The 24,705-nt window shown below is 49.7% G+C and overlaps 1 long non-coding RNA gene across 1 annotated transcript, besides 2 other annotated features; it reads left to right on the forward strand.

Moving 5' to 3' along the window:
- Positions 1–1,102: 1,102 nt before the first annotated feature.
- LOC124903865 (uncharacterized) lies at positions 1,103–4,400 on the forward strand. The gene is made up of 2 exons (XR_007065518.1): positions 1,103–1,580; positions 3,776–4,400. It is a non-coding gene; the product is annotated as an uncharacterized LOC124903865 (long non-coding RNA).
- Positions 22,032–22,726: an enhancer, noted in NCBI's record as "H3K4me1 hESC enhancer chr1:18733166-18733860 (GRCh37/hg19 assembly coordinates)". NCBI's record gives its function as "activates a minimal SCP1, AML or CMV promoter by ChIP-STARR-seq in naive H9 embryonic stem cells {active_cell/tissue: H9 hESC(naive)}" and the evidence as "EXISTENCE:reporter gene assay evidence [ECO:0000049][PMID:30033119]".
- Positions 22,727–23,420: an enhancer, noted in NCBI's record as "H3K4me1 hESC enhancer chr1:18733861-18734554 (GRCh37/hg19 assembly coordinates)". NCBI's record gives its function as "activates a minimal SCP1, AML or CMV promoter by ChIP-STARR-seq in naive H9 embryonic stem cells {active_cell/tissue: H9 hESC(naive)}" and the evidence as "EXISTENCE:reporter gene assay evidence [ECO:0000049][PMID:30033119]".

Below are 24,705 nucleotides of genomic sequence, written 5' to 3' on the forward strand. Positions count from 1 at the left end.
AGGGAGTGGGAGGGGAGCTGAGAAAGGGGAGGTGGGGAGAGGCCAGGGAGCAGAGGGAGAGAGGAGAAGAGGGGGCAGCCAGCAGCGGGAGGCTCAGAGATCCAGGGAGATGGAAGGCTCCTCCAAGGATGAGGAGATGGGATGGAAGGGGCAGAGAAGGGGACTCACTTGGGGGAGGGGTTCTGAAAGAGAGCAAAAAGAGGCAAAAATCAGCAATGAATGAGGCAAAGAGAAAATTGGAGAAGTAGGAAGTGAACAAAAACGAGGCAGAGATAGAGAGACAGAGACAGAGGGGGACAGAGTACAGAGGACATAAAGAGATAGAGGGGGACAGAGACAGAGACACACACAGAGAGAGACACACAGAGACAAAGAGGGACAGAGAGAGACACAGAGACATAGACACAAAAAGACAGAGGGGGACAGAGTACAGAGGACATAAAGAGATAGGGACAGAGACAGAGACACACACAGAGAGGTACACAGAGACAGGCACCCAGAGACAGAGTGACAGAGAGAGACAGAGGACATACAGAGAGAGAGAGACAGAGTACAGAGACACAGAGACAGAGAGGGACAGCGTACAGAGGACATACAGAGACAGAGGGACAGAGAAAGAGAAACACACAAAGAGAGACATAGAGACAGAGACAGAGACAGAGAAAGACAGAGTGCAGAGAGAAACAGAGAAGAGGGGAGGAGAGGACAGAGAGAGAGAGGGTTGGGAGAGCAAGCCTGGAAGCAGAGATAAAGGCAGTGAGACACAGAGAGACAGTAAGGAGAAAGAGACTGGCCCTGGAGCCCAGCCGGGGAGGTGGAGCTGCAGACCAGGCCAGAGCGGGGAAGTTTTCCAAAAAGCATTTAAGCTGCTGCATCAGTGATGACACCCTTGGCCTCCTCCGGGGAATGACAGTCCTGAGTGGTGGGTGGAAGGAAATAGACGTGCAAAATGCATGCATTTTTTCAAATGGGGCGGCAGGCTTAAATGTCAGCAGGCACAGTGGAGCCCTGGCCGCCAGCTGCACCCGACCTTGGGGCTGAGTTTCCATAGCCGCTTCCCCTGCGTCACCACTGCTCCTCCCCCTCTTCCCTCCCATCCTATCCCAGCAGCTGCCAGCTCATGAGGGGCCCTTGTAGTCCCCAACCCTGGCCCCCATACTCTCCTGCCTCTTACTCCACTGGGCCTGGAGTTCCCAGAGCCACAGACAAAAGGTCCTCGGAGGAATCTTTCTCTAAACTGCTTCTCCTTTCCAACTTCCCAAATTTGACCTCCTCCAGGGACCATCCTTTTCTGACCACAGGAAAAGCCCTTCCTTAAATCCTTTAAAGCCTAGGCTTAGGGGATTGGGCTCCTGCTTTAAGAGGAGCATGGCAGAGCGATCAAGCACAGGGACCCAGCCTGCGTCTGAAGTCACTGTCAGCTCTGTCACTCACTATTTCCATGGCTTCGGCACTTTACTAACTTCTCTGTGCCTCTACTTCCTCTTCTGAAAATGGGGACGCCGAGGTCCATGGCGTTCACCTCGGAGAATTAAATAAATGAAGATGTGGAACATCCTTAGAACAGTGCCTGGCACATGGTAAGTGTTCAGTAAGTATTAGCTATTGTCATCAATATCATGCAATAGGGAGCAGTGGGTGAAAGCCTCAGAGTCACAGAAGATGCTTGGAAGTAAAGTGGAACAAGAGAGTTCCAGACTCTGCCTACTCAGTGCACAGTCCCAGGACCGGCAGCAGCTGCATCTCCTGGGAGCTTGATAGAAATGCAGGATCTTAGGCCCCACCCGGGACCTGCAGAAACAGAATCTACCTTTTCACAAGGTCCCAGGCCATTTGTGTGCCCAGTCAAGTTGGAGAAGTCTGCTCCTGGCCTAGGTGAGCCCAGTTAGAAGCTTACTTAGGTAGTTAGAGTGAGACACTATCAAGGTCAGTCATGGCTGGACAGGGAGGGCCCTAGGGTGCACCAGCCCTGACCTGTCTGCCGCACGCTGTGCTGGGTGCTTTATCCTGCAGAATGACCCTGCTTCCCACTCTTCAAAGGAGGGGGTAAAGCTTAGAGAGGCTAAGTGACTCTCCCAGGCACAGATGCCCCGTGTGTGTCAGGACTGATTCCAGCAAGCAGGGCTACCAGACAATGGGGCTGGAGGAAGGCAGCTTGAGAGGGAGGCTCCCAGCCCTCTGGGAATGGAAGTTGTGTAGTCATGGGGGTCATAAGAAGCCAGAGGCCTTGGGCTTGCACAGTCGGACAGATGGGATAGAGAACCAGAAACAGGGCCTGGCCAGTGGCTCACGCCTGTAATCCCAACACTTTGGGAGGCTGAGGTGGGTAGATCACTTGAGGTCAGGAGTTCAAGACCAGCCTGGCCAACATGGTAAAACCCTGTCTCTACTAAAAACATAAAAGTTAGCAGGCATGGTGGTGGGCTCCTGTAGTCCCAGCTACTCGGGAGGCTGAGACAGAAGAATCGCTTGAACCAGAGAGGAGGAGTTTGCAGTGAGCCGAGATTGTGCCACTGCACTCCAGCCTGGGTGACAGAGCCAGACTCTGTCTCAAAAAAAAAAAAAAGAAAGAAAGAAAGAAAAGAACCAGGAATGGGAACACAGGGGGATGGTGGTGATTAGTTGGATTCCGGACAAGCCATGCTCGAGGGGAAGAAGGGACATTCCATGCCACTGTCCAGCAGGCCAGGAGCTCAGGAGGCATGACAATTTGGGATGATCTGCCTTGAGAACAACAATAATTCATATTCATTAAGGACGAACCACTGGCCAGGCACTTCGCCTAACTGCCTGTAAGAACAGATGCTCCATACCCTGCAGATGAGCAAGTGGAGGCTCCCAGAGGGGAGTCATTTGCTTAAGTCCACACAGCTTACAGCACAGTGCTGTGATCAGAGCCTCCCATACGCCCGGACGAAGAACTCACACTGTTTTCCGCTTCACCAAACACACATAATCTGGTGCTTGAAGTGGCTGAGGGTCTTAGTTAGGGTTCCTCCTAAGGTAGACCCTGAGATAGGGATTTGGGTGCAAATGGTTCATTTGGGAGGAGATCCAGGAAGAACAGTGACACAGGCAAATGGGGTAGGGAAAGGAAGAAAGCTCATACAGGGTGTGCCTGACCTGGGCAATTGGGGCTTTATCCCAAGGGACCCTGAGATTTTGCATTGCATGCATCTCAGACTGTCCCCACTAAGGAGCAAGGAAGCTGGAAGCACTGTCACCAATTGCTGGAGCATTAAATCCACTACCTGCAGCCAACCAACCAGAGAAAGTCCCTGGTAGAGAGCCATAGCATGGTAAACTGCAGGAGACCCGTGGTGGGCTTTGAGGATGGAGGTGGGGCAGGGATAGTATCTGCTAGACTGAGCCTTTTAGCTTCCCAGGGCACCCATTGCCCCCTTTGAAATCCCAAGGTAAGAGAGAGAAAGATCTTGAGGTAGAGGGATGCGGCTGCCCAAAGACTGGCACCATGGTCTGAAATTCATGTTGAAATTCTAACCCTTGAGGTGATGGGATTAGGAGGTGGGACCCTTGGGAGGTGATTAGATCATGGAGGCAGAGCTATCATGAATGGGATTAGTGCCCTTATAAAAGAGGTCCCAGAGAGGTCCTTTTCCCCTTCTACCACGTGAGGTTACATTGAAAAGACATCTAGGAAGTGGACCCTCACCAGACACTCAATCTGCTATTCCCGTGATTTTGGACTTTCCAGCCTCCAAAACCGTGAGAAATAGATTTCTGCTGTCACTCAGTTTGTGGTATTTTGTTATAGCAGCCTGAACAGAACTGCTGTGCAGGAAGAGAAGTGAAGACGGAGACCACCCAGCGAGCACAATGCTCAAAGGCCCAATGGATCCACTCCTGACCCTGGAGGTGACCCCAAGCCAAGCCCTGGGGATGCTCTTAGAGCTTCCTCTCCCAGCACAGGCAGCTGACTTCACCCATCTGGGAATGGTCTTCATTTTGATGAAGAGGCAGTCAGGGCTGAAAGGTGGTGTGTGGGCAGGAGGCGTCTGCTGGAGCCCGGTGGCAGTGCAGCTGCAGAGCCGCAGAGGACGGCTCTCAAATCTATCCAGCGACAGTGAGACCCAGGGCTTTGAAAGACTTTGGGGGTCAAACTGCAACTTTGCCACGTTCCCAATGTGGGATCTTGGGCAGCTTGCTTAACCTTTTGGAACCCAGTTTTCCCACTACAAAATGGGGATATTTACACACATATAAGAATTTACATAAGTAACAATGTTCATAAATTTAGGAATTCATCATTTACCAGATATTCTCTATGTGCCAGGCACTGTGCTAAGCACCTTGCATGAATCATTTTGTTTGATCTTTATAATAACCTTTCAATAGAGGAAGCATTATCTCTATTTTACAAATAAAGAAACAGAGGCTCAGAGAGGTTTTGTAACTTGTCCCCAATCACACAGCAAGTAAGTCCTGGAGCTGGGATCTGCACTTGGCTTAATGCACCAGGTAATTTTGCCTCCAGAGGTGAGAAGCCCAGCACAGGGTCAGGCTTAGGCCAGGCACTCAGTAAATGTTGGTTCCCTTTCCTCCTTTCTCCCTGGAAGCTCCCCGAAGGCAGATGGTTCTTTTAAATATTCTGATGATCTTGAGCTAGTCAGTTCAAGAGGCAGCACCATGAAGTGTTTAAAGAGCTCTAGAGCCAAACTCCCCTGGATTCAAATCCTTGGTTAGCGATTGACTAGCTGTATGACTTCAGGCCACTTACATAACCTCTCTGTGCTCACGTGACCCATCTGTCTAAATAATGAGGATCACAATCATGCCCATCATGCCCATTAAGGCTGTTATGAGAGCTGATGAGACAGTGCATATAAAATACTTAGAAACGTGTCTGCATATACTATGTGCTCAACAAATGTTCCCTGTCATTATTACGCACTTGGCACCAGGTGTCGACAGTAATCTCCATCTTTGATACTAGATAAAAGGGATCTCGTGGGGCTGGCTGCTCTTCCCCCAAAGTCATTCTGTGCCCCCAAATCATCCCATTATAAAGGGAAGGGAATGGAGGAAGAGGAAAAGAACAAAGGAGAGAGAAACTCACACGTACTAACTCAGATTCTTCACAAGGTTATTTCCCTGGGTCCACCCAACAACCATATAAGAAGGTATTATTGTACTCAATAAATGAAACAAGAAGTGACCCCAAGGGGAATAAAGGACATGCCTAGAATTACACAGCTGGTAAGTGGGGAGCACAGGTGAGAATCCCATCCTTTTTAAGCACATCTCCTGCCTTCAACTAATGATGCTCTCTGCACACGGCCACCTCACCACCGACCCTCTGGGAAGTCAAGCCTTAAGCTCCTGCCAGCAGGGAAGGAGGGCAGGCAGAGAGGCACACTCTCCTATGGCCAATGGCAGCTTTAGGAGGACAGAGAGCCACTTGACAGAAAAAGGAGAGAACCTTCTCCTTGGATGCCCAGGGCAGGCCTGCTTGGTATATTCCCAGACCATCTGTCTACTATGTAGGGTCCACACCTTCACCCGAATACCAGAGAGGAGGCATCTTCTTTCCACCTAAAGTAGAAAGGCCTGGTGAGTCTCAACGCATGTTACAGCTGGGAAAACAGAGGCCCTGAGCATCTTGCCTGGGGTTGTACCTGGGTTATACCCAGGGTTGCCCAGGCTTAGTGGCAAAGTAAGGGCAGGATGCCAGGCTGGCTGACCCCCACTCCTTTTTCTGGAATTACATTCTGCTGTCTGCCCAGTAAAGAAAATAGTAATGTAACCAGTGGGTCCCTCTTTAGGTCTTTTGGAGGGTGGAAGGGAAGAATTCCAGAGAAACCCAGGCAGGGAGGGAGGGGCTGCTGTAACCACAGCAGGCCTCCCCCAGGGAGAGGGACCGTGTCCCAAGTAGGGGTTGAGTTCTGAGCCTGGTGGCCCCTCCTGCTGCCACCTCCTGGAGAGGGGAATCTTCTACCAGAGAATGTAGCCCACCCTCCAAGACACAGCCCTGACTGTGCCACATGCACCACCATGACCAGGCTCCGGCGTTCTGAACCCTGTTCTGGGTTCTAACAACTTTAAGGGCTTTAGTCTGGGGCTCTGGTTTAGCCTCTGAAGAGCCCAGGTTTTAAATAATAACTTTACCTTGCTGTGAAACTGCTTCCACCTTGTTCTTTTCCTCTAAAATATATATGTGTGTGATTGTGTGTGTGTGGGGGGGGGGGCACCCGCGTGTTGAGGTTGTTCCTGGGGGACTATTAACTAAGAATAATTTATCCAAGAAATTTGTTATGTTAGAATTACCAATTAGATATGATTATAACTTACCCTGGCTAACACTGCACTACTGTTGGAAATCTGAATCCCATTAAAATCTAATTAGCATATATTAAGTCGAAGGCGGTTTTACTGCAGTGGGCCAGCAGGTTTGAGCTGCGACAGGCCGGGCACGTGGACTCACTGCCCACTTCAGCATGCTGGCCAATGGCCCACAGTGCCCAGGTGGGTGCCAGGCAGCCTATGGGCAGCTTTTCTCCTCCTAAGCTGAGACCAGACGGCCCATGCTCACAGAAAGGGGCAGCTCCAGACGTGGACATGATGTTCGAGGTTCCGCCTTTAGATGAGTGGCCAGCATCCACGGAAAGCCTTCTTTGCCATGTGGCTAAGCCAACCAAGGCGCTCTGGGGTCAGTGCTCTGGGCTAAGAGGATGAGGGTGGTTTTGGCAACCCCTGGGAGCCAGTCAGCTTGGTGGCTGAATGCTAGCATCACGGAATATACCCTTCCCTGGGCTTACGGGTATGGGGGTGCTTCTGCAAGGGTGTAACTGCTATATCTTCATCTCTGGAAAAGCGCCTGGTATAATAATAGCAAACAGTTGCTTAGCACGTACAATGGGCTAAGGTTTTATTTTCATATTCTCAACCTCGCAAAAATTCCAAGGAAAAAGTACTAGGATTAGGCCCATTTTATGCACGTTGAACCTGAGGCTTAAAGAGGTTAAGGAACTTGCTCCCGGTCTACAACCAAGGAGTAGAACACACTAGTTTGCTAGGGCCTCCATAACAAAGTACCATACACTGCGGGGTGTAAACAACAGTGTGTATTTTCTCAGAGCTCTGGAGGCTGGAAGTCCAAGACCAGGGATTCAGCAGGGTGGGTTCCTTTGGAGGCCCCTGTCCTTGGCTTATGGATGCCGTCTTCATCCTGTGTCCTCCTGTGGCCTTCCCTCTGCAAGTGTCTGAGTCTTAATCCCCTCTCTCATGAGAACACCAGGTACGTTGGTGTAAGGCTCACCCTGGTGACCTCATTTTACTGAATTACCTCTGTAAAGACCCTTTCTCCAAACAGCCACATTCTGAGGTCCTGGGAGTTAGGATTCCATCATACAAATTTGGGGTTAGGAGGTACAGCCTGAGCAATCTCACCCACCCACAGGGCTCCAGTTACCTCCAAATGCAAATGACTCCCAGTTTTAAATCCCACACCCAGAACTCTTGATGGGATTTCTCTCCATGCCCTGAGGCATTCAGCCCAAAGGAAGCCACTGTCTTCTGCATTCTTCTCTTCTGTGTCCCCTGTGGCCAGTGGCCCCCAGCCAATGTGACCCTTCATCCTCCTGACTCTGCCCCCTCCACACCTTCCCGAAACAAATATGGTCACATTCTGAGGTCCTGAAAGTTAGGATGTCAGGCAAAGTGCAGTGGCTCCCACCTGTAATCCCTCCACTTTGGGAGGCTGAAGTGGGTGGATTGGTTGAGCCCATAAGTTGGAGATCAGCCTGGGCCATATAGTGAGACCCCATCTTTATTTTAAAGAAATATTTTTTAATTATACTTTAAGTTTTAGGGTACATGTGCACAATGTGCAGGTTAGTTACATATGTATACATGTGCCATGCTGGTGTGCTGCACCCATTAACTCGTCATTTAGCATTACGTATATCTCCTAATGCTATCCCTCCCCCCTCCCCCCACCCCACAACAGTCCCCAGAGTGTGATGTTCCCCTTCCTGTGTCCATGTGTTCTCATTGTTCAATTCCCACCTATGAGTGAGAACATTCGGTGTTTGGTTTTTTGTCCTTGCGATAGTTTACTGAGAATGATGATTTCCAATTTCATCCATGTCCCTACAAAGGACATGAACTCATCATTTTTTATGGCTGCATAGTATTCCATGGTGTGTATGTGCCACATTTTCTGAATCCAGTCTATCATTGTTGGACATTTGGGTTGGTTCCAAGTCTTTGCTATTGTGAATAGTGCCGCAATAAACATACGTGTGCATGTGTCCTTATAGCAGCATGATTTATTGTCCTTTGGGTATATACCCAGTAATGGGATGGCTGGGTCAAATGGTTTGAGATCAGCCTGGGCAATATAGTGAGACCCCATCTTTATTTTAAAGAAATATTTTTTAAAAAATAGAGTTCGGACATCAACATATGTATTTTGAGAGACACAACTCCTTCCATAGTAGTGCCCCTGAGACTTAGAGACTCTAAGGCCAGTTCCTCTGGCTCCCCAAAAGTAGGGCAGCTGGGGACCAGGGCAGCTGTGCCCTGTGACCCTATAAAACTCTCTGCCCATCAGCAGTGGCAATGAACAAGCTGAACAAGCTGCAACTACACACGACAATGTGGATGAAGTGCCCAGGCTGGAGGGAGGGCAGAAGAATCCAATCAGAAAGAAACTCGTGCTGCCTTGGGTCCAGGCACACAGAGCCCACCGTGGTCACCCTGGGAGTGGAGGAGCCTGGAGGGATTACAAGAGCATTTTGGGGTGCTGGAGATGTTCCTTCTCATTCTGGGGACTGATTATGGGGCTGTGTTCAGGTTGTGAAAATCCGCTGAGCTCACTTAAGACTCGCGGACTTTTTTGCTTAGTGAATACTAGAGTACCAGCGTCAATTTCCTGGTTTTGACAATGTTCTGAGGCTAAGATGCCATTGGGAAAAGCTGGGTAAAGCGTTCATGGGAACTCTATGATTTTTGCAACTTGTGAGTCTTATGTTATTTCAAAATTACTTTTTAAAAAATGCAACACACACAAAAAAGAATAAAAACATGACTTTTTATTGGTTTAAGGTTTTGTAACATTCCCAGCCCTGGAAGAGTTGAAATAAATTGTAAATTAAAAAAAAAAAAAAGCTGTATGCACTTTTCTATGTGTATGTTACACTTCAATTAAAAGTTAAAAAAAAAAAAAACACCTCTCTGCCAGTCTCTGAGCTTATCCAAAGAAATGGGGGAGAATTGGTATTCACAAGAGCACATATTATGTGCCAGATATTTCTAGGCACTTAGCCCAAGTTATTCCATTCATTATTCTGAAAGAGAGAGAGAGATTATTGCCTCCATTTGCAGATGAGGAAATTGAGGCTCAGAGAGTCCAAAGGAGCCCCCCAACATCACACAGTCCCTTCAGAGCACAGCTGAGGTTCCCCCAACGACCTATGTGGTCTGCCTAAAACCCCCATTCTTGTCTCTGCCCTTGCTGGGATCACTCTGAAAAACACCTTCCCCTCTGTCCCACCCTCCACTGCCCTGGACTGCCTTGCCCAGCCTCAGGATAAGGCACCAAGGTCCCCAATCACCCCCACTCCCACCAGCAAAGCTGCTGATGTGGGGTTTTCTAAAGAATGCCAAGCCCACCCGCCAAGCTCCCTCACTGGGATCTACCGTCGGACCATTTTACCACCAGTAATTGCAGTGCTGAGTATGCAGCTGTCCTTTGTCAGGTCTCCACAAACCCCCTGGAGCAGTTCTATGCAGGAACTATTTCCCCTACCCACCCCCCAACACATATGTGCACCCTCAGCACCAAAGTCCCCAAGATGTTTGGAGCTTGGACAAAATTAACTCATTTATCCAACCAACCCACTGAGAGGACACCTGCTTATTGTCATGGGCCCTAAAATTAACCTGGTTTATCATGTCTTCTGAATTTGGCTCAAGCAGCACTTTCAGGGATTTTCAGGCATCCAGGAATGAAATAACACCTGGAGGAACTGGAGCTAATGTCAGTAGTTCCAGCTGCAAAGATCACTTTCTAATGGACTGAGGCTGGGGCAAAGACGCAGCCACCAACCTGGGGACATCCGTGGATCTGTATTCGGTGGATATAACTGGGACTGATCTTGTCTGGGTCCTCCCAGCCCAACAGCCACCAAGAGAAAGTCACAGACCGTTCTGTAGGCAGACCGTTCATCATGGATGGCAGAGCAGAGACTGTAGGATGCTGGTGGGTGTTCTGCCCAAAGGACTTCCGTGAGCAAACAAACTTGAGAAAATCTCCTTGCGGCAGGACTTATCAGAGCCTTTACTATGCTAGCATGCCTCCTGAGCCTCCAAGAGGGGCCCACCTAAAACAATGTTTTCCACTCTTTTCTGGAACGTTCTTCAGAGAAGTGCCGATCTGAGGCCTTCAGCACAGATGTATCTTAGTGGTGGTTCTGGAACAAGATGGAAAACTAATGAATCTGAAGTGGTGGTAAAATGATAGGCAGGAGTATTGCTGTTTCCATGTTATAAACAGAGAAAACTGAGGCCCAGAGGGAGAGAGGAACTTGCCAGGTCAGCAGGTGAATTAGTGACAGAGCCAGCCCTAAATCTCCATCATGCGTTCTTTCCTCTGCTGCTATGGTTTTGATATTTATCCCTTCCAAACCTCATAGTGAAATGTGATTTCCAGTGTTGGAGGTGGGGCCTAATGGGCAGTGTTTGGGTCATGGGAGCAGATCCCTCATGAATCTCCTTCCAGGTTGGGGGTGAGTGAGTTCTGACTCTGTTACTTCCCATGACAGCTGTTTGTTACAAAGAGCCTGGCACCTCCCTCCCTTCTCTCTTGCTTCCTCTCCTGCCAGGTGATCTCTGCACACACCGCTCCCCTTCACCTTCTGCCAGGAGTGGAAGCAGCCTGAGACCCTCACCAGACACAGATGCTGGCACCATGCTTCTTGTATACCCCGCAGAACCATGAGCCAAATAAGCTTCTTTTCTTTATAAATTACCCAAGTATTCCTGTATAGCAACACAAAAAGACTAAGAATCTGCCCAGATCTGAGTTCAGGTAGGAAGAAATTTGTTCATAGAAGATTTCCAGGGCTTCCATGGTGGGAAAGAGGCAATATCCACAATCTGTACCATTCTTGGAAGGAGGAACCAACAGAGATACATCATTTTATAACATGTCTGTAATATTTGCAAAGCTCTTTCAAAATTGTTCATTAGCATTTTTCATCTTTACAATCTTTCTCTATATCTTAGGCAATAGAGCCCCATTTTTAAAATGAGGCCCCTGAGCCTCAACCAGGAGACATGATTTGCCCAAGGTCACAGGTTTCATGTATCATGGATGGCAGAGCAGAGATTTCCTGCCTGGTGGGGTTCCTCATCTCTGGCCAGCTTTCCCTTGAGGGCAGAGTCTGGGCCTGGCTCAGCTCAGTGTCCCAACACTCCCACTCCGGTGAATAAGCTATGCTGAGGGAAGTCTGGGCTCTGATGCAGAGAGACCTAGAAGAAAGCACTAATGGGGTAATTTGGGGTCCAGAGCACCAGTTCTCATGAATCTGAGGAATTCTTCCTCCTAGCTACTTCCTTCCTTTTCCCTCATTACATCCCTGCCAAGGACAAATTCTGCCATTTGCATGGCAGGACTCCTCCAAAAAGGGGCTTCCTCCCTTTCCGTTAGTAAAGGAAGAGGTTACCTGAGACTTGACTTAACCTCCTTGGGAGGGAACATGCTTTCACTGTTGCGAATTGTTAAGTCAGGTCCAGAGTGATCCAGTCACTTATCATGAGTCATACAGTAACCAGAGGTTGAGTTGACTGAGCCAGCTTCATCCACCGGACCAGTGAGTAAGTCTCAAACCATAAAGTATGTAAGAATTGCCTTGAAAAGAAGCAGGTGGTGCAGAGGAGAGTGAGCAGAGCTGGCCTGAGACTGCTGTCCTTCAAAGACCTGCTTGCAAAGTGGGCCCATGTCTGGCATCTGGGAACTCGGGTTTCAGGAGGGCTCTCACCACCCTGATAAGAGTGGCTCACAATGTGTAAATGGTGTGTACAGACAATGTGGCTTATGCCAAACTCCTGCTTTCCTTCTGAAAGTCTGGAATCTGGGTATGTGCCAGGCAGAAAGTGCCTGTATAACCAGCCCCCAGGAGACTTCCTGGGCATTGAGTCTAATGCACTATGCTGGTAGACAGCTCCTCGCGCATGTTGTCATAGCTCATTGCTGGAGGAATTAAGTGAGTCCTGTGTGACTCCACGGGGAGAGGACCCTGGAAGCTTGTGCCTGGTTTCCTCTGGACTTCACCCTATCACCTTTTCCTCTTGCTGATTTTGCTCTCTATGATTTCTCTGTAATAAATCTTACCTGTGAGTACAACTATGCTGAGACCTGTGAGTCCTCTTAATTAATCATCAAACCTGGGGTTGGTTTGGGGACTCCTGACCCAGGGAGATATTACGGTGCCGATTCTGGGTCTTCCACTTCCACTGTCTGAGTGTTTGTGTCCCCCAGAAATTTATACATTAAAACCTAGTCCCCAATGTGATAGAATTAGAAGGTAGGGCCTTTGGGAGGTGACCAGGATGAATGGGATTAATATTCTTATAAAAGAGACCCCAGAGAGCTAGTTAGCCTCTTCTTCCCACCATGTGAAGAAGCTCCAAAAAGACATGATCTATGAACCGAAGAACAAGCCCTCACCAGACACCAACATCTTGATCTTGGACTTCCCAGCCTCCAGAACGGTGAGCAATAAATCTCTGCTGTTTTTAAGCCACCCAGTTTATGGGATTTTTGTTATCATAGCCAGAATGGACTAAGACACCCACCCCCTGAATTCTGATCCAGTGGGTCAAGTGAGGAAGCCCAGGAATCTGCATATTTGCACACACTCTGGGTGGTCCTGAGACCAGGCATCTGTGGGCCTCTCTTTGAGAAACACTGCTAGCTGGTTCTGTGATGGACATTTCAATGAGGAATGGGTGTCCAGGGAAGCTTCCTTCTCTGAAAACTTCCCTGTGTCATCTGTGCAAGACCATGGAGCAGGGGAATGGGCACTTTGGAGGTGTCTCAGCGGCACCGCATCACCACCTTTCCACTTGGTTCCTCCTCAGATAAGAGCCCAGAGCCCAGCCCTGAAGCTATTAATGCAGCAGCTTCAGTGTCCTTGTCCCGCTCCATCAGGCAGTCCCTAATCACCCTGGAAGCTGCCAGATGAAGAGGCCCAGACAGAGTTGGGGAAAGGAGGGCTAATTGGCTGCCAAGGAAACAGGGACTGATGAGAAGGAAATCAGGGTCTGAGCTGGCTCTTCCTCTCCAAGCCTCTCAATGCAGCAGGCAGGAGGAGACCCCCGCACAGAGCACAGGCTGGAGGTGGGGACAAGGTGAGATTTCATATGGGCTTTAAGAATAAAGGTTGTCCTCAGCGAAGTGGACATTACTCTCGAGGTGCTGATGGCAGCTGATAGAAATGACAGCTGTATCACTGCCAGCTTTGTATCCACACTGGAGAGCAGTTTGACCTCACACACACACTCAACTTCCTTCCAGTTATCCGGCTTCGGGAGCCCATGTCATTGGCTCTGCGTGTCTTAGGCTGGCGGGCACCAGCACCCACACTTTTTTTTCAGGGGCACATTGATTAATTGATTAATTCAGTGAACATTCCGTGAGCACCTGCTAAGTGCCAGGCACTGCTCTGGACTCGAGATGCGGCCAGGAGCAAAACAGACAGAAGTCCCCACCCCTCTGAAACTGACACTCTAGTAACAGGGGTAGGCAATAAACAAAACAACTAAGTTATGTTACATATTAGCAAATACATCATCCTAAGAGGAAAGATAAAACCAAAAGGGAGGCTATGGAGTCTGGGGAGGCTGTCATTGTAATGGAGTGATGGAGAAACCCCCACCACCTCTTATGATGGGAGGAAGAACCGGGCACCTTGTGTTCTAGCCTTGGCTTGAGAATCAAGCCAGGGAAGGCATGGAACCTGCAGCGTGGCTCCCCAGGAGCAGCCCAGAAGCAAAGGTGATTACTCTGAGAGATAAGCTGGGTCAATGCTTGCAAAGGAGCTCAGCAAACAGAGGTGACAGTGTCAACTAATCGATGATACAACCACCCTGGCCTTGAGTTTTATAAAGGAAGCCCAGGATGACTCCTGTCTGGTCTGTGTGGCCCACCCAGAGGTTACAGACATCACAAAGGTGAGTGCCCATCCCCCATAAGCCTTATCTCCCGGTCTTTTTCAAATGGTTTTCACTGTGGTACCTCCATGCAAGCAAACATTCCATAAGGCCCTGTACTGTGGCCACCAGTACTGAGCCAGCCACTCTGCCAAGTAAGTGCACCAGATGGATGCCCTGGCTGGGTACTCATGGCATAGGGGATACAGCAGGAGGTGTCCCACCTGACTTTCTTCCCAAGCACGGAGCTGGTCAAACCAGGGACATAGGAGGATCAGGGGAGTACCACCTCAGCCCAACAGAGGGACTGAGAATGTAGACCCCCTCTTTTCTGGCTGCTGGTTCTCCTGCGGAGCATCCCCAAGCATGAAGCTGGTCAAACCAGGAACACAGGAGGATCAGGGGAGTACCACCCCAGCCCAGCAGAGGGACTGAAAACATAGACCCCCTCTTTCCTGGCTGCTGGTGCTCCCAGGGAGAGTGAGCATCTTCAAGCTTGGAGCTGGTCAAACCAGGGACATGGGAGGACAGGGAGAGTACCACCTCAGCCCAGCAGAGGGACTGAGAATGCAGACCCCCTCTTTCCTGGCTGCTGGTGCTCCCGGGGAGAGTGAGCAACCCCCGTGCACTTGGCAAGGGCATGACCTTGCAGTTTCCATTAACATGGAAGACAGGATCATTAATTTCCTTATCCTAAGTCCAAGAACCAAGGCAGGGAGCAGGGAAGGGCTTCTCAAGATCCCCTGGCTGCTTCATGGCAGGGTTAGGACTGGAACCCAGGGCTCTGACCCTAAGGGTCCCCTCTGCCACCCACTGACCCAGCCAGGGCTATTTCGGGGCAGCTTGCACCTGGCCTCGAAGGCTTCTCAGAACATCTCACCTCCTAGGTCTTGGGTTTCCTGGCTCTGTCTGAGACTTGGCAGGTGACTCACCTTCTCGGAGCCTCCTTCATCACCCCCATTTTATAGACAGGGAAACTGTCCTCGTAGTGTTGCTAGCAGGATGAAATGATGTCATGGATGCAATGTGCTTAACAAAGTGACAGAGAGTGATGTGCTCCATTACAGTATTTTTTATGATAATGATGGTGCTTATGCAGACTCTTGAGCCTCTCAGCAGGATCTTCCAGGACTTTTCTAACTTCACCATGAGTACTGCAATCAACTGACGAATCTGGCTGGCCACCCACCCTGGGTACAAGTACCATAGGATTGCAAAAAAAAAAAAAAAAAAAAGCACGACTCTCCCAAGCTGCTCTCAAGGACCCACAGTCTGACTACAGATAAATAAGACACTCAAAGGACACAATCAGTGAGCAACTGGGCAGTGAGCAACTGGGAACGTTGACCAGGAGCCATGAGAGGGCGGAGGTGGAGGAGAGGGAGGGGCTGCAGGGCTGATATAGGAGGGTGGGAAGGCTTCCAGCTTCATGAGAGGATTTGCTTTTAAGGAGCATGAGATTTACCCAGAAGGCTTATAAGAACTAGAGGCCGGGCATGGTAGCTCACACCTGTAATCCTAGCAACTCAGGAGGCTGAGGTGGGAGGATCGCTTGAGCTCAGGAGTTTGAGACCAGCCAGGAAACATAGCAAGACCCCGTCTCTACCAAAAAAAAAAAAAATTTAAAAAAAAAAAACATAGCTAGGTGTGGTGTTGTACTTGTAGTTCTAGCTACTTGGGAGGCTGAAGTGGGAGGATCGCTGGAGCCCAGGAGGTGGAGTCTGCAATGAGTCATGATCGTGCTACTGCACTCCACCCTAGGTGACAGAGCAAGAACTTGTCTCAAAAATAAAAAAAATAAATAAAGGTACCTAGTGTCTGCCCCAAGTGATCCTGACTCTATGGCCCTAGAGAAGGGCCCAGAAACCCACCTGTATAACAAGTTCCTCAGGTAACTTTGACGCAGGTGGCTCTTCCCATCTGTGCCTTGGACTACCCCCTGCTCCAGTCCCCAACCCCTGCCGGGCACTTCATCTCACACTTCCAAGACTTCATATTTGCAGAGTTCCCACCTCAGGGCCCTCCCTTCCCTGCCAGGCTCTGAACCAAGCACCTTTCAGAGCCCATTACACCCACCCTGACACTCACAACCCCACCCCTGGGCACACCTGCACTACCACACCCTTCTTGGAAGCAAAAGCACAGGCTCAGGCATCTGGCACACTTGAGGGTGGATCCCTGCTCCTCTACTGTCTTACTGTCTGGTCTTGGCCACATAAATTAACTTCTCTGAGTTTCAGTATCTTCGGCTGTAAAATGAGTATAAAACATTCCCTGAGAATGACTGTGAAGTTTGCAGGAAGCAATGTATACAAAGTGCTTGTTGCAGTAAGTATCCTGTAAATGGTAGCTAATAGATTAGGAATATTAACAAGCATAATGGCAGCCATGGCATTGGTTGGCATGCACGTCCCTCGCTCATCTGGAGATCCTCAGGGGACTGCAATAAGCCTAATGATGTCATGGAAGCAATGTGCTTAACAAAGTGACAGAGAGTGATGTGTTCCATAAGTACAGTATTTTGTGTAACTTCTAACATTGGGCTCAATATTGAGCAGGCATTTAGTGAATGAATGAATGAATGAACTAATGCATTAATGCATATAAGGAGGTTAAAGAAGTCAGGGAAAGCTTCCAAGAAGAGGTAAAGACTGAACCAGGCTAGGGAAGTCCTGGAGGATTGGGTGGTATATAGTGAACTATGGCCTCTATTATGCCCACCAAACCTCAGTGATATACAATAAAAAGCATTTTTTTGTTTTCTTGAGACAGGGTCTCGCTTTGTCACCTGAGCTGGAGTGCAATGACACAAACATGGCTCACTATAGCCTTGACTTCCTGGGCTCAGCAATCCTCTCACCTCAGCATCCCAAGTAGTTGGGACTACAGGCATGCACCACCATGCCCTACTAATTTTTGTATTTTTTGTAGAGACAGGGTTTCACCATGTTGCCTAAACTGATCTCAAATACCTGGGCTCATGCAATCCACCAGCTTTGACTTCCCAGAGTGCTGGGATTACAGGTGAGAGCTACCACGCCCAGCCTTCAAAAAGCATTTATTGAGCTCCCACATCTGCAGGTTGGCTGGGGAGCTCTGCTCTGGGCTGGACTCCTCTTGGGCAGCTGGACCAGGGCAGCTGTGCTCCATATGTTTCTCATTCTGCTTCTAGCTGGCTAGCTCGGGCACATTCTCCAGCAACTACAGCAGAGGGCCAGTGGAACCATGCAAGGCGTCTCCAGTCCCAAACTCAGAATTAGGCTCACTGCCTCACTTTGTTTTATTGGCCAAAGCCAGTCACATGGCCAGGTTCACAGTCAGAGGGTGAGAAATGCTCTCTGTCTACTAGTGAGAGGCAATGCAAAATCACATGGCCAAGGGCACAGATACCCGGAGAGCTGAAAAAGAGAGACAAGGGCCAGTCCAGGCCTGTTATGGGATGGGAAGACCCTGTACAGATGAGTTATGAGGGTCCTTCAGGCTCCCAGGACTTTTAGAGCATCATTCACTCATTCACTCATTTGTTCAGTGAGCAGTATTCATGGTGCACTTGCTGTGTGCTGGTCCTGTTTTAGTGCTATGTAGACAACTTGAGTAAAACGAGACAAGGTCTCAACCCTCGGGATAAAGAAGAGGTTCCACTTCTTTTTTCTGGCTCTTCCACCCACTTTCTCTGTGACCTTGGGAAAATCACCTCCCCTCTCAGGGCATGGCAGCCACTGCTAATAATACCTTACATTTGTAGAACACTTTTAACTTTATCAAAACGTCTTCACATGCGTTCTCTGTGAAGCATCGGAGACCGGTTTTATTACATCTCTGATTTGACAAGTGAAACTCTAATGGATATAAAATGCACTGAGCTCCTTGGAAGTGCTCTCTTGAGAGGGCTCGGTGGGGCAAAACCCCTTATAACAAACCCTAGGATTCTCTCTCTACAACAAAGCGGGTCCCTGGGTATCTGCTGACGGTTGTCATTTCAAACAATGTTTGGGGCCACACAATCCCTGTGTGACCCAAGGACTGGGATGGCTTCCTTTATCTTTCCTTTTATTTTAAAAAGCCACCACTCTGAACATTTCAAAGATTCCTGCAGAACTTTGCCAATTTAATTTAAAAGAAAAAAATAAAAAGATTGCCTCCTCCTAACTGGCTTCACAAATGAAAATGGGATGTAAGCCAGGCCTCAGAGAACAGCCTAATCACTCCAGCTCCTCATTTAATAACCTCAGGAAACCAGGCTGCGCATTTTACGAGGAGAAAAGAGAGACAGAAGCAGCCCTTCCTCCCTGTCCCATCAAGTCAATCTCAGCCCTCGGATCTGGGGTTAAACACAAAGACAGCCTCCTTTGCCGAGGATACATGTGCTGCATCTTATAATCCTGCCTCTCCTTATGCCAGTCCTGTAAGGCATGAGCACCATTTCACAGGTAAGTAAAGTGAGGTTCAGCAAGACAGCAAGTCACACTAATAAGAGCTAATAAGAAGTTGAGCTGGGTTTGAGCTGAAATCCCTTTGAACCCAAATGCCACGTTCTTTGCTCCTTCCCCACACCACCTCTTTGCTATGTGGGGTGGTTTCATATTGCAGGGGACCTGATACCAGGTTTAGTGAATGCAAAAGGAAAGAAGGAAATGGAGAGGGAAGAAAGGAAGTGGGGGAAGGGAGGAAGGAACGAAGGTAGGACAATATTTATGGTGTGGCTACCATGAGCCCAGCACTATTAAAAGCTGACCTCCATGTGTGATGTGCCATAATTGAAGAAAAAGGCACCCTGGAGACACAGAGGAGGAGCCCCCAGTGTGGCCTGGGGGGAAGGCTTACCAGTGAAGATGCTATTGATGGATGAATCAGGAAGGAGCCAGGAGCAAAGGTAGGGCTGGAAGGTCAGAACGAGCCCTTGTTGGGCTCCTTGATCAAGGCCTACTGACTTCACCTCCTCAGTATCTCTTGGATCCACCTATGTCTGTCCATCTCCACACCCACCCAAGTCTGTGCTTTGTCTGGACTGTGAGATGCCCTCCTCCCCTGCCTTCTGCCTCTGCTCCTCCAGACCTTTCTCTACAAAGCAGCCAGAGTGGTCTTTCCTAAAGCAAATCAAACAAAGCCTCCTTCTCTAACTCAACCTTTCCTTGGCTCTCCATTTGCTCTGGGGAGCCGTACTGGGGGTCTCTAAGGTCCTACATGTCCCAGGTCTCACTTTGTACTGCACTCTCCTTCCCCTCTAGACTCCAGTCACATGGGCCTGGGCACAGGGGCCTGGTGCTGATCTTTCTGCCCAGGGATGTCTGGCTGCCCCTGTTCACCTGGTTAATTTCTACAAATCCTTTAGCTTCAAGTCAACTTTACACTTCATCCATTCTTACATCCAATGATTATTTATGGCACACCTAGGCACTGTTCTAGATGGTGGCAGTCCAGGTGTCTGTCTTCATGAAGCTTAGTTGTTAGAAGCAGAACCTTCCAGGGTGAAGCCTTCTCTGATTATTCTCAGAGCCAGGTGACTGTAGCAGGCGCTATTGGTGCTCCGTCCCAACAACTCAGCCCACCCGGAAGTTGCCTAAGGCTCTGATAAACAGTTCTCATACCCCGAGATGATGTCCTGCCTCAAAATAGGATATCTCTCTGACTGAAGGCTTTCTCTGGACATACAAATCCAAGTGCAGGGCCAGCCAGGAACACCTGGGAGTTAACACCCCCAGAACAACCCACAACAATAAAGGATAGGAATTGGTGAGTGTATCAGTTATCTATTGCTGCATAATAAACACTAAACTTGACGGCTTATCATAGCAATCATATATCTGCTCATGACTCTGCAATTGGACTGTGCTCAGCTGGAAGGTTCTCCTGCTCATCTAGCCTGGAGCCACTCATGCAGGTGTAATCTGGTGCCTTGCCTGGACTGGATGGTCCCATATGACTTCATTCGCGTTTCTATTGTGTAGGGGCAGCTGTGAGCTGGGGTGCCTCAGTCCCCTCTGTATGGCCTCTGGCAGAACAGCCCAGGCTTCTTATGTGGTAGCAGCAGCAGTCCCAGAGGGCCAGCCCTAATTCTAAGTGTTCATCAAGCCTCTGCTGGCATCATGTTTGCTGATGTTCCAATGGCTAAAGTAAGTTACATGGCCCCACCTAGAGTCAATGTGGGAGAAGCCTCCACAAGGGTATGGACCACAGGGAGGCCATTAATGAGCCATCAATCCAGTGCATAAGTCTGCCAGCTTCCTCAGCCCTCAGGGGGACAACTCTAAGGTGTGTTCCACTCAGGGTCTCAGAGAGACCACAAAGGGCTTGAGCCCAGTTGCCCACAGCTGTGATCCACTCACTAGCACATTTTAAAAACTTTTCTCTCCTCCCTGGTTCACTCCCCCTACTCCCTCACTGTGCTTCCTGGAATCCCCTCCCAGATAAACTACCTGCACCCAAGTCCTTTTTCAAGATCCACTTTGGGGAAACCTAAACAGGGGCCATAGCATAGCCAGGAGTTGAAATCCCAAGCACGTGTTCAATTCTGCCATACTGGCCCCATGTAGGAATACAGGAGAGAGGACAGGATAAGATGGGAAACATGGGGGCTGGGGCTCTGGGGAGCCACTGAAGGCTACATGCAGAGAGGAGCATAATCAGCAGGTATCTGTGGCCCCTCTGAGACTGGCCAGGCCTCCAGGGATGGATTCGGCTGAGTCAGAATTGGAGACCTGCCAGATCCAATAGTGACAGAAGGCTAAGACCCTGTAGGAGCACCTCTAAGTTAGGGAAGATGCCCTCCCCCCACACACCCCATCAGCCCTCCTGGGTCAGTCTGGTCCCCAGAGCTGTTCTCACAATTTGCAGCGTAAAACCAACTCCCCCCAACCCCACCACTTTTCTGAGTTCTGTTATTACGATTATGCAAATCTCCCGTCCCAGCCTAAGCAAAGCAGGTGGGACATGGGGGCAGCTCAACAGGATAAGATGGGCAAATGGCAGTTTACAGCCACCCACTCTGGTAAACACAAGTTTAATTGCTTTTTCGTAGGGGAGAGAGGGGAGGCACACTCAGAAATAAAACAAATTCCCAATCAGCTGTGTCAGGGCTGCTGAGCTGAGCTGATGGAGAGGAGCACTGGGCTGTGAGCAGCAGACTCTGACCTGGGAAAAGGAGAAGGCAGGTGAGGGGAGGAGATGCTGGGGACATGGAGGTATTGTCCTGGGGAAAGCACTGGCCCTTCAGGTCAAGGGCAGGACATTCTGTACCACCAGGGTTATTGTTGGGGTGAGGGGGCAGTTGGGTGCCAAGACTCTCACCTGGATCTTTAATAACAACAGTGATGATAATACTATCCAGCATTTACTGAGAGCTTACTGAGTGCCAGGCACTGAGCTAAGCACTCTACACAAATTAATTGTTTAATTGTCACAACAACCGGCTGGGTGCAGTGGCTCACACCTGTAATCCCAGCACTTTGGGAAGCCAAGGCGGGCGGATCACCTGAGGTTGGGAGTTCAAGGCCAGCCCGACCAACACGGAGAAACCCCACCTTCAGCCTGGGCAACAGGAGCGAAACTCCATCTCAAAGGAAAATGTCACAACAACCTATGATACTATTATCACTCCATTTTACAGATGGGAACTGGCTGAAGACACAAGTGAAAGTGTTCTTTTGTCTACCCAGAACCTGAGGAACTATTTATTCAACAAACCCCCATTTGCTGAGCCCTTGCTCTGTGTCAGTTGCTTCATGCAATCAACAAGGAATAAGGCTGGGATCCAAACCCAGGTCTTTCTGATGCCAGTGACTATGCCTTTAACTAGTAAGCTAGACAACGTCCCTGAATACTACTACACATGTCCAAGTAACAACTCCTGTTTATCGAGCACTTATTCTGTGCAACCCCCAGGTCTACAGGCCAGACTAGAGATGAGATAAGGTCCCTGCCCTTGAGAAATTCATTATTTAATGATGAAGGAGGCACATACATGAGATATTGTAGCGGTAAGGCTTTGAATAGGTGAACACGGTAGGGTGGGAACATAGGCAGTATGTAACTCTGCCCACAGAGGTTGAAACAGGCTTTGCAGAGGAGGCCAGGTTTGAGATGAGATGTAAAGGATGAGTAGGACTTCACTAAGCAAGAGGGGAAGGAGATGGTAGAGGAACACAGAGAAGGTCCACAGCTGAGGCAGCAGCTAGCACCTTCTGGGGCAGCCATACAGCCTGCGGTGGCTGGAGTTTGGGGGCACGTCATGAAGGACGTAGCCACTATGGTGAGAAGGTGGGCAGGAACCGCATCACAAGGGGCCATCACCGCCAACCTGAGCCCTGCCCCTAACCCACAGCACCAGCCTTCCTCAAATCAGCATCTGGTTTGACAAGATGCTTCTGGAACAAGGAGGTTCTGTGGCCGGGGGAGTTTGGGAAGCACCGCACAGCTGTGTCTTTTCTGGAAGCTGCATCAGGTTTCTGAGAAACCGTGTAGTAAAGAAACCTGCTTAGCTCTGCTGAGCCCAGCCTTTCCCAGACCCCTCTGACCTCAGAAACCTCCTCTGCCCGCAGAAACCCCCGGGGCCCGCATTCCAGGGACAAACCCTTCAGGAAGTGTGTATGTGAGACCTAAAGCAATGGCGGTGACTGGGGAGGGCCCACGGCTCCTTCCTGCATCTTCAGTCACTGAGACTCCACCCAGAGGATGGCAAGAACAAGCCCAACAACAGCTGACATGTACTGAGTCCTTACCACGAGCCAGGCCCTGTGCTAAGTCCTCTATATGTCACTGACTCTCATCTCACTGACTGCTCATGCTGTTAAAATTTCCATTTTACAGATCAGGAAACCGCGGCACGGGGCAACAGGAACTTGCCTACATTCTCTGCATTCGTAGGTGGAAGAGTCAGGATTCGAACCCTAGTCTGCCAAACGCCGAGGTCCATGCACCTCTTGCTGCACTGTCCTCCCATGTGTGGCTTCCTACTGTTCCGTCTGCGGGCGGAGCCCCAGCCCCACCCCGGAGGAGGTGGGAGATGACCGTCGCTTTCGTATTTTGGAAAGCTTCAGTTGTCAGCCCCTCCGGGCAGGTTCTGTCATTCCTGGGGACTGCATCATTTCTGACATAACAGAATCTAGTCAATTCAACTCAGCAAACATTTCCAAATCCCCTCTGTATGCCAGGTGCTGCCTGGGGAGGCTGGTCAGTCCCCGGTTACCCCGAATCCCACTGCCTCTGGGAGCTCTGATCCCAGAATCCTCCAGTGAAAGGGACTTGGAGGAGCACACAGTTCCCAAAACTCAGATTTAGAGAAAAAACTGAGGCCACACCCCCAAATTTAGAGCAGAAAGAAGTGGAGCTGCTCTGTTTGAAGTGAGGGTGGGCATTCTGGATCCTACCAGCCTAGCCTTCCCTCCCCTCCTGCAGGCTCCGGAAAACATCACCTGATCAGACCTGGCCATGTCACAGGTGAGAGTGGCAGAGACAGGTACAAATAAAACCATGAAGTCACAGGAAAAGGAACTGATTTTTTTTTTCTTTTTTTTTTTGGAGACGGGATCTCGCTTTGTCACCCAGGCCGGAGTGTAGAGGCGTGATCACGGCTCACTGCAGCCTCAACATCCCGGGCTCAAGTATCCTCCCACCTCAACCTACGGAGTAGCTGGGACCACAGGTGCATGCTATCATGCCCGGCTAATTTTTTAATTTTTTTGTAGAAACAGTCTTACTATGTTGTCCAGGCTGGTCTTAAACTCCTAGACTCAAGCAATCCTCCCACCCCAGTCTCCCAAAGTGTTAGAATCATAGCTGTGAAACACCGCACCTGGTCAAGAAATAAATTTTGATGGGAAAGGCTTCTTCAAAAAAAGCGGGCTTGTTCTGGGCCAGAAAATCAGAGTGGGGGCACATTCCGGGCTCAGGCAAAGGTCTGAGGACAAAGCATTCTGGGAGTGTTTACGGAGGACCAGCTCTGAGGGATGTGGGGATGGTGGCAGAGAGAGGGGTTGACGAAAGCTCGGCTTCAGTCACACCTCAGCCCACCTCCAGCATCACGCCCTAGCCACTCCAGGGCAGGCGAGGGCAGGACAGGGCAGGAGGGCTGGTGACCAGATGTTCACAAGCCCCAGCGTCCCAGACCTTGCTGCTTCCTCCGGGAAGCATTTGAAAAGCTGTTAAGAAATTGGAGACTTTCTCCTGCTCCAGGCTGACCTGGTTGTCCCGGGTAGGCCCAATCTAAAATTTCAGGGAACAAAGGAAAGGCCTGAAATGCCACCTTGGGAAGGTCAGGTGCCCCGTCCCAAGGCCTGGGATTCAGCCAGGTGAGAGAGGAATGCACCTTACTCCTGATGCACACAGCAAACAGACCAGGAATGTCCAGGGCTGACACAGCCCCGGGAAGTCTCCAGAGAACACTCAGGGACTGGACTGAGGCTGAGCACCCTTAGGCCACACCCCCTACTTCCCCTCCCACCTGCAGACCCAGCTTTCAGAGGAGCCCCAGGAGCAATGACCTGAAAAGGTAGAAATGATCAGAAGATGAAAATCCCTCTTTGCTCCTCATAA

The sequence above is a fragment of the Homo sapiens genome, chromosome 1, assembly GCF_000001405.40.
Source record: "Homo sapiens chromosome 1, GRCh38.p14 Primary Assembly".
NCBI classification, from domain to species: domain Eukaryota; kingdom Metazoa; phylum Chordata; class Mammalia; order Primates; family Hominidae; genus Homo; species Homo sapiens.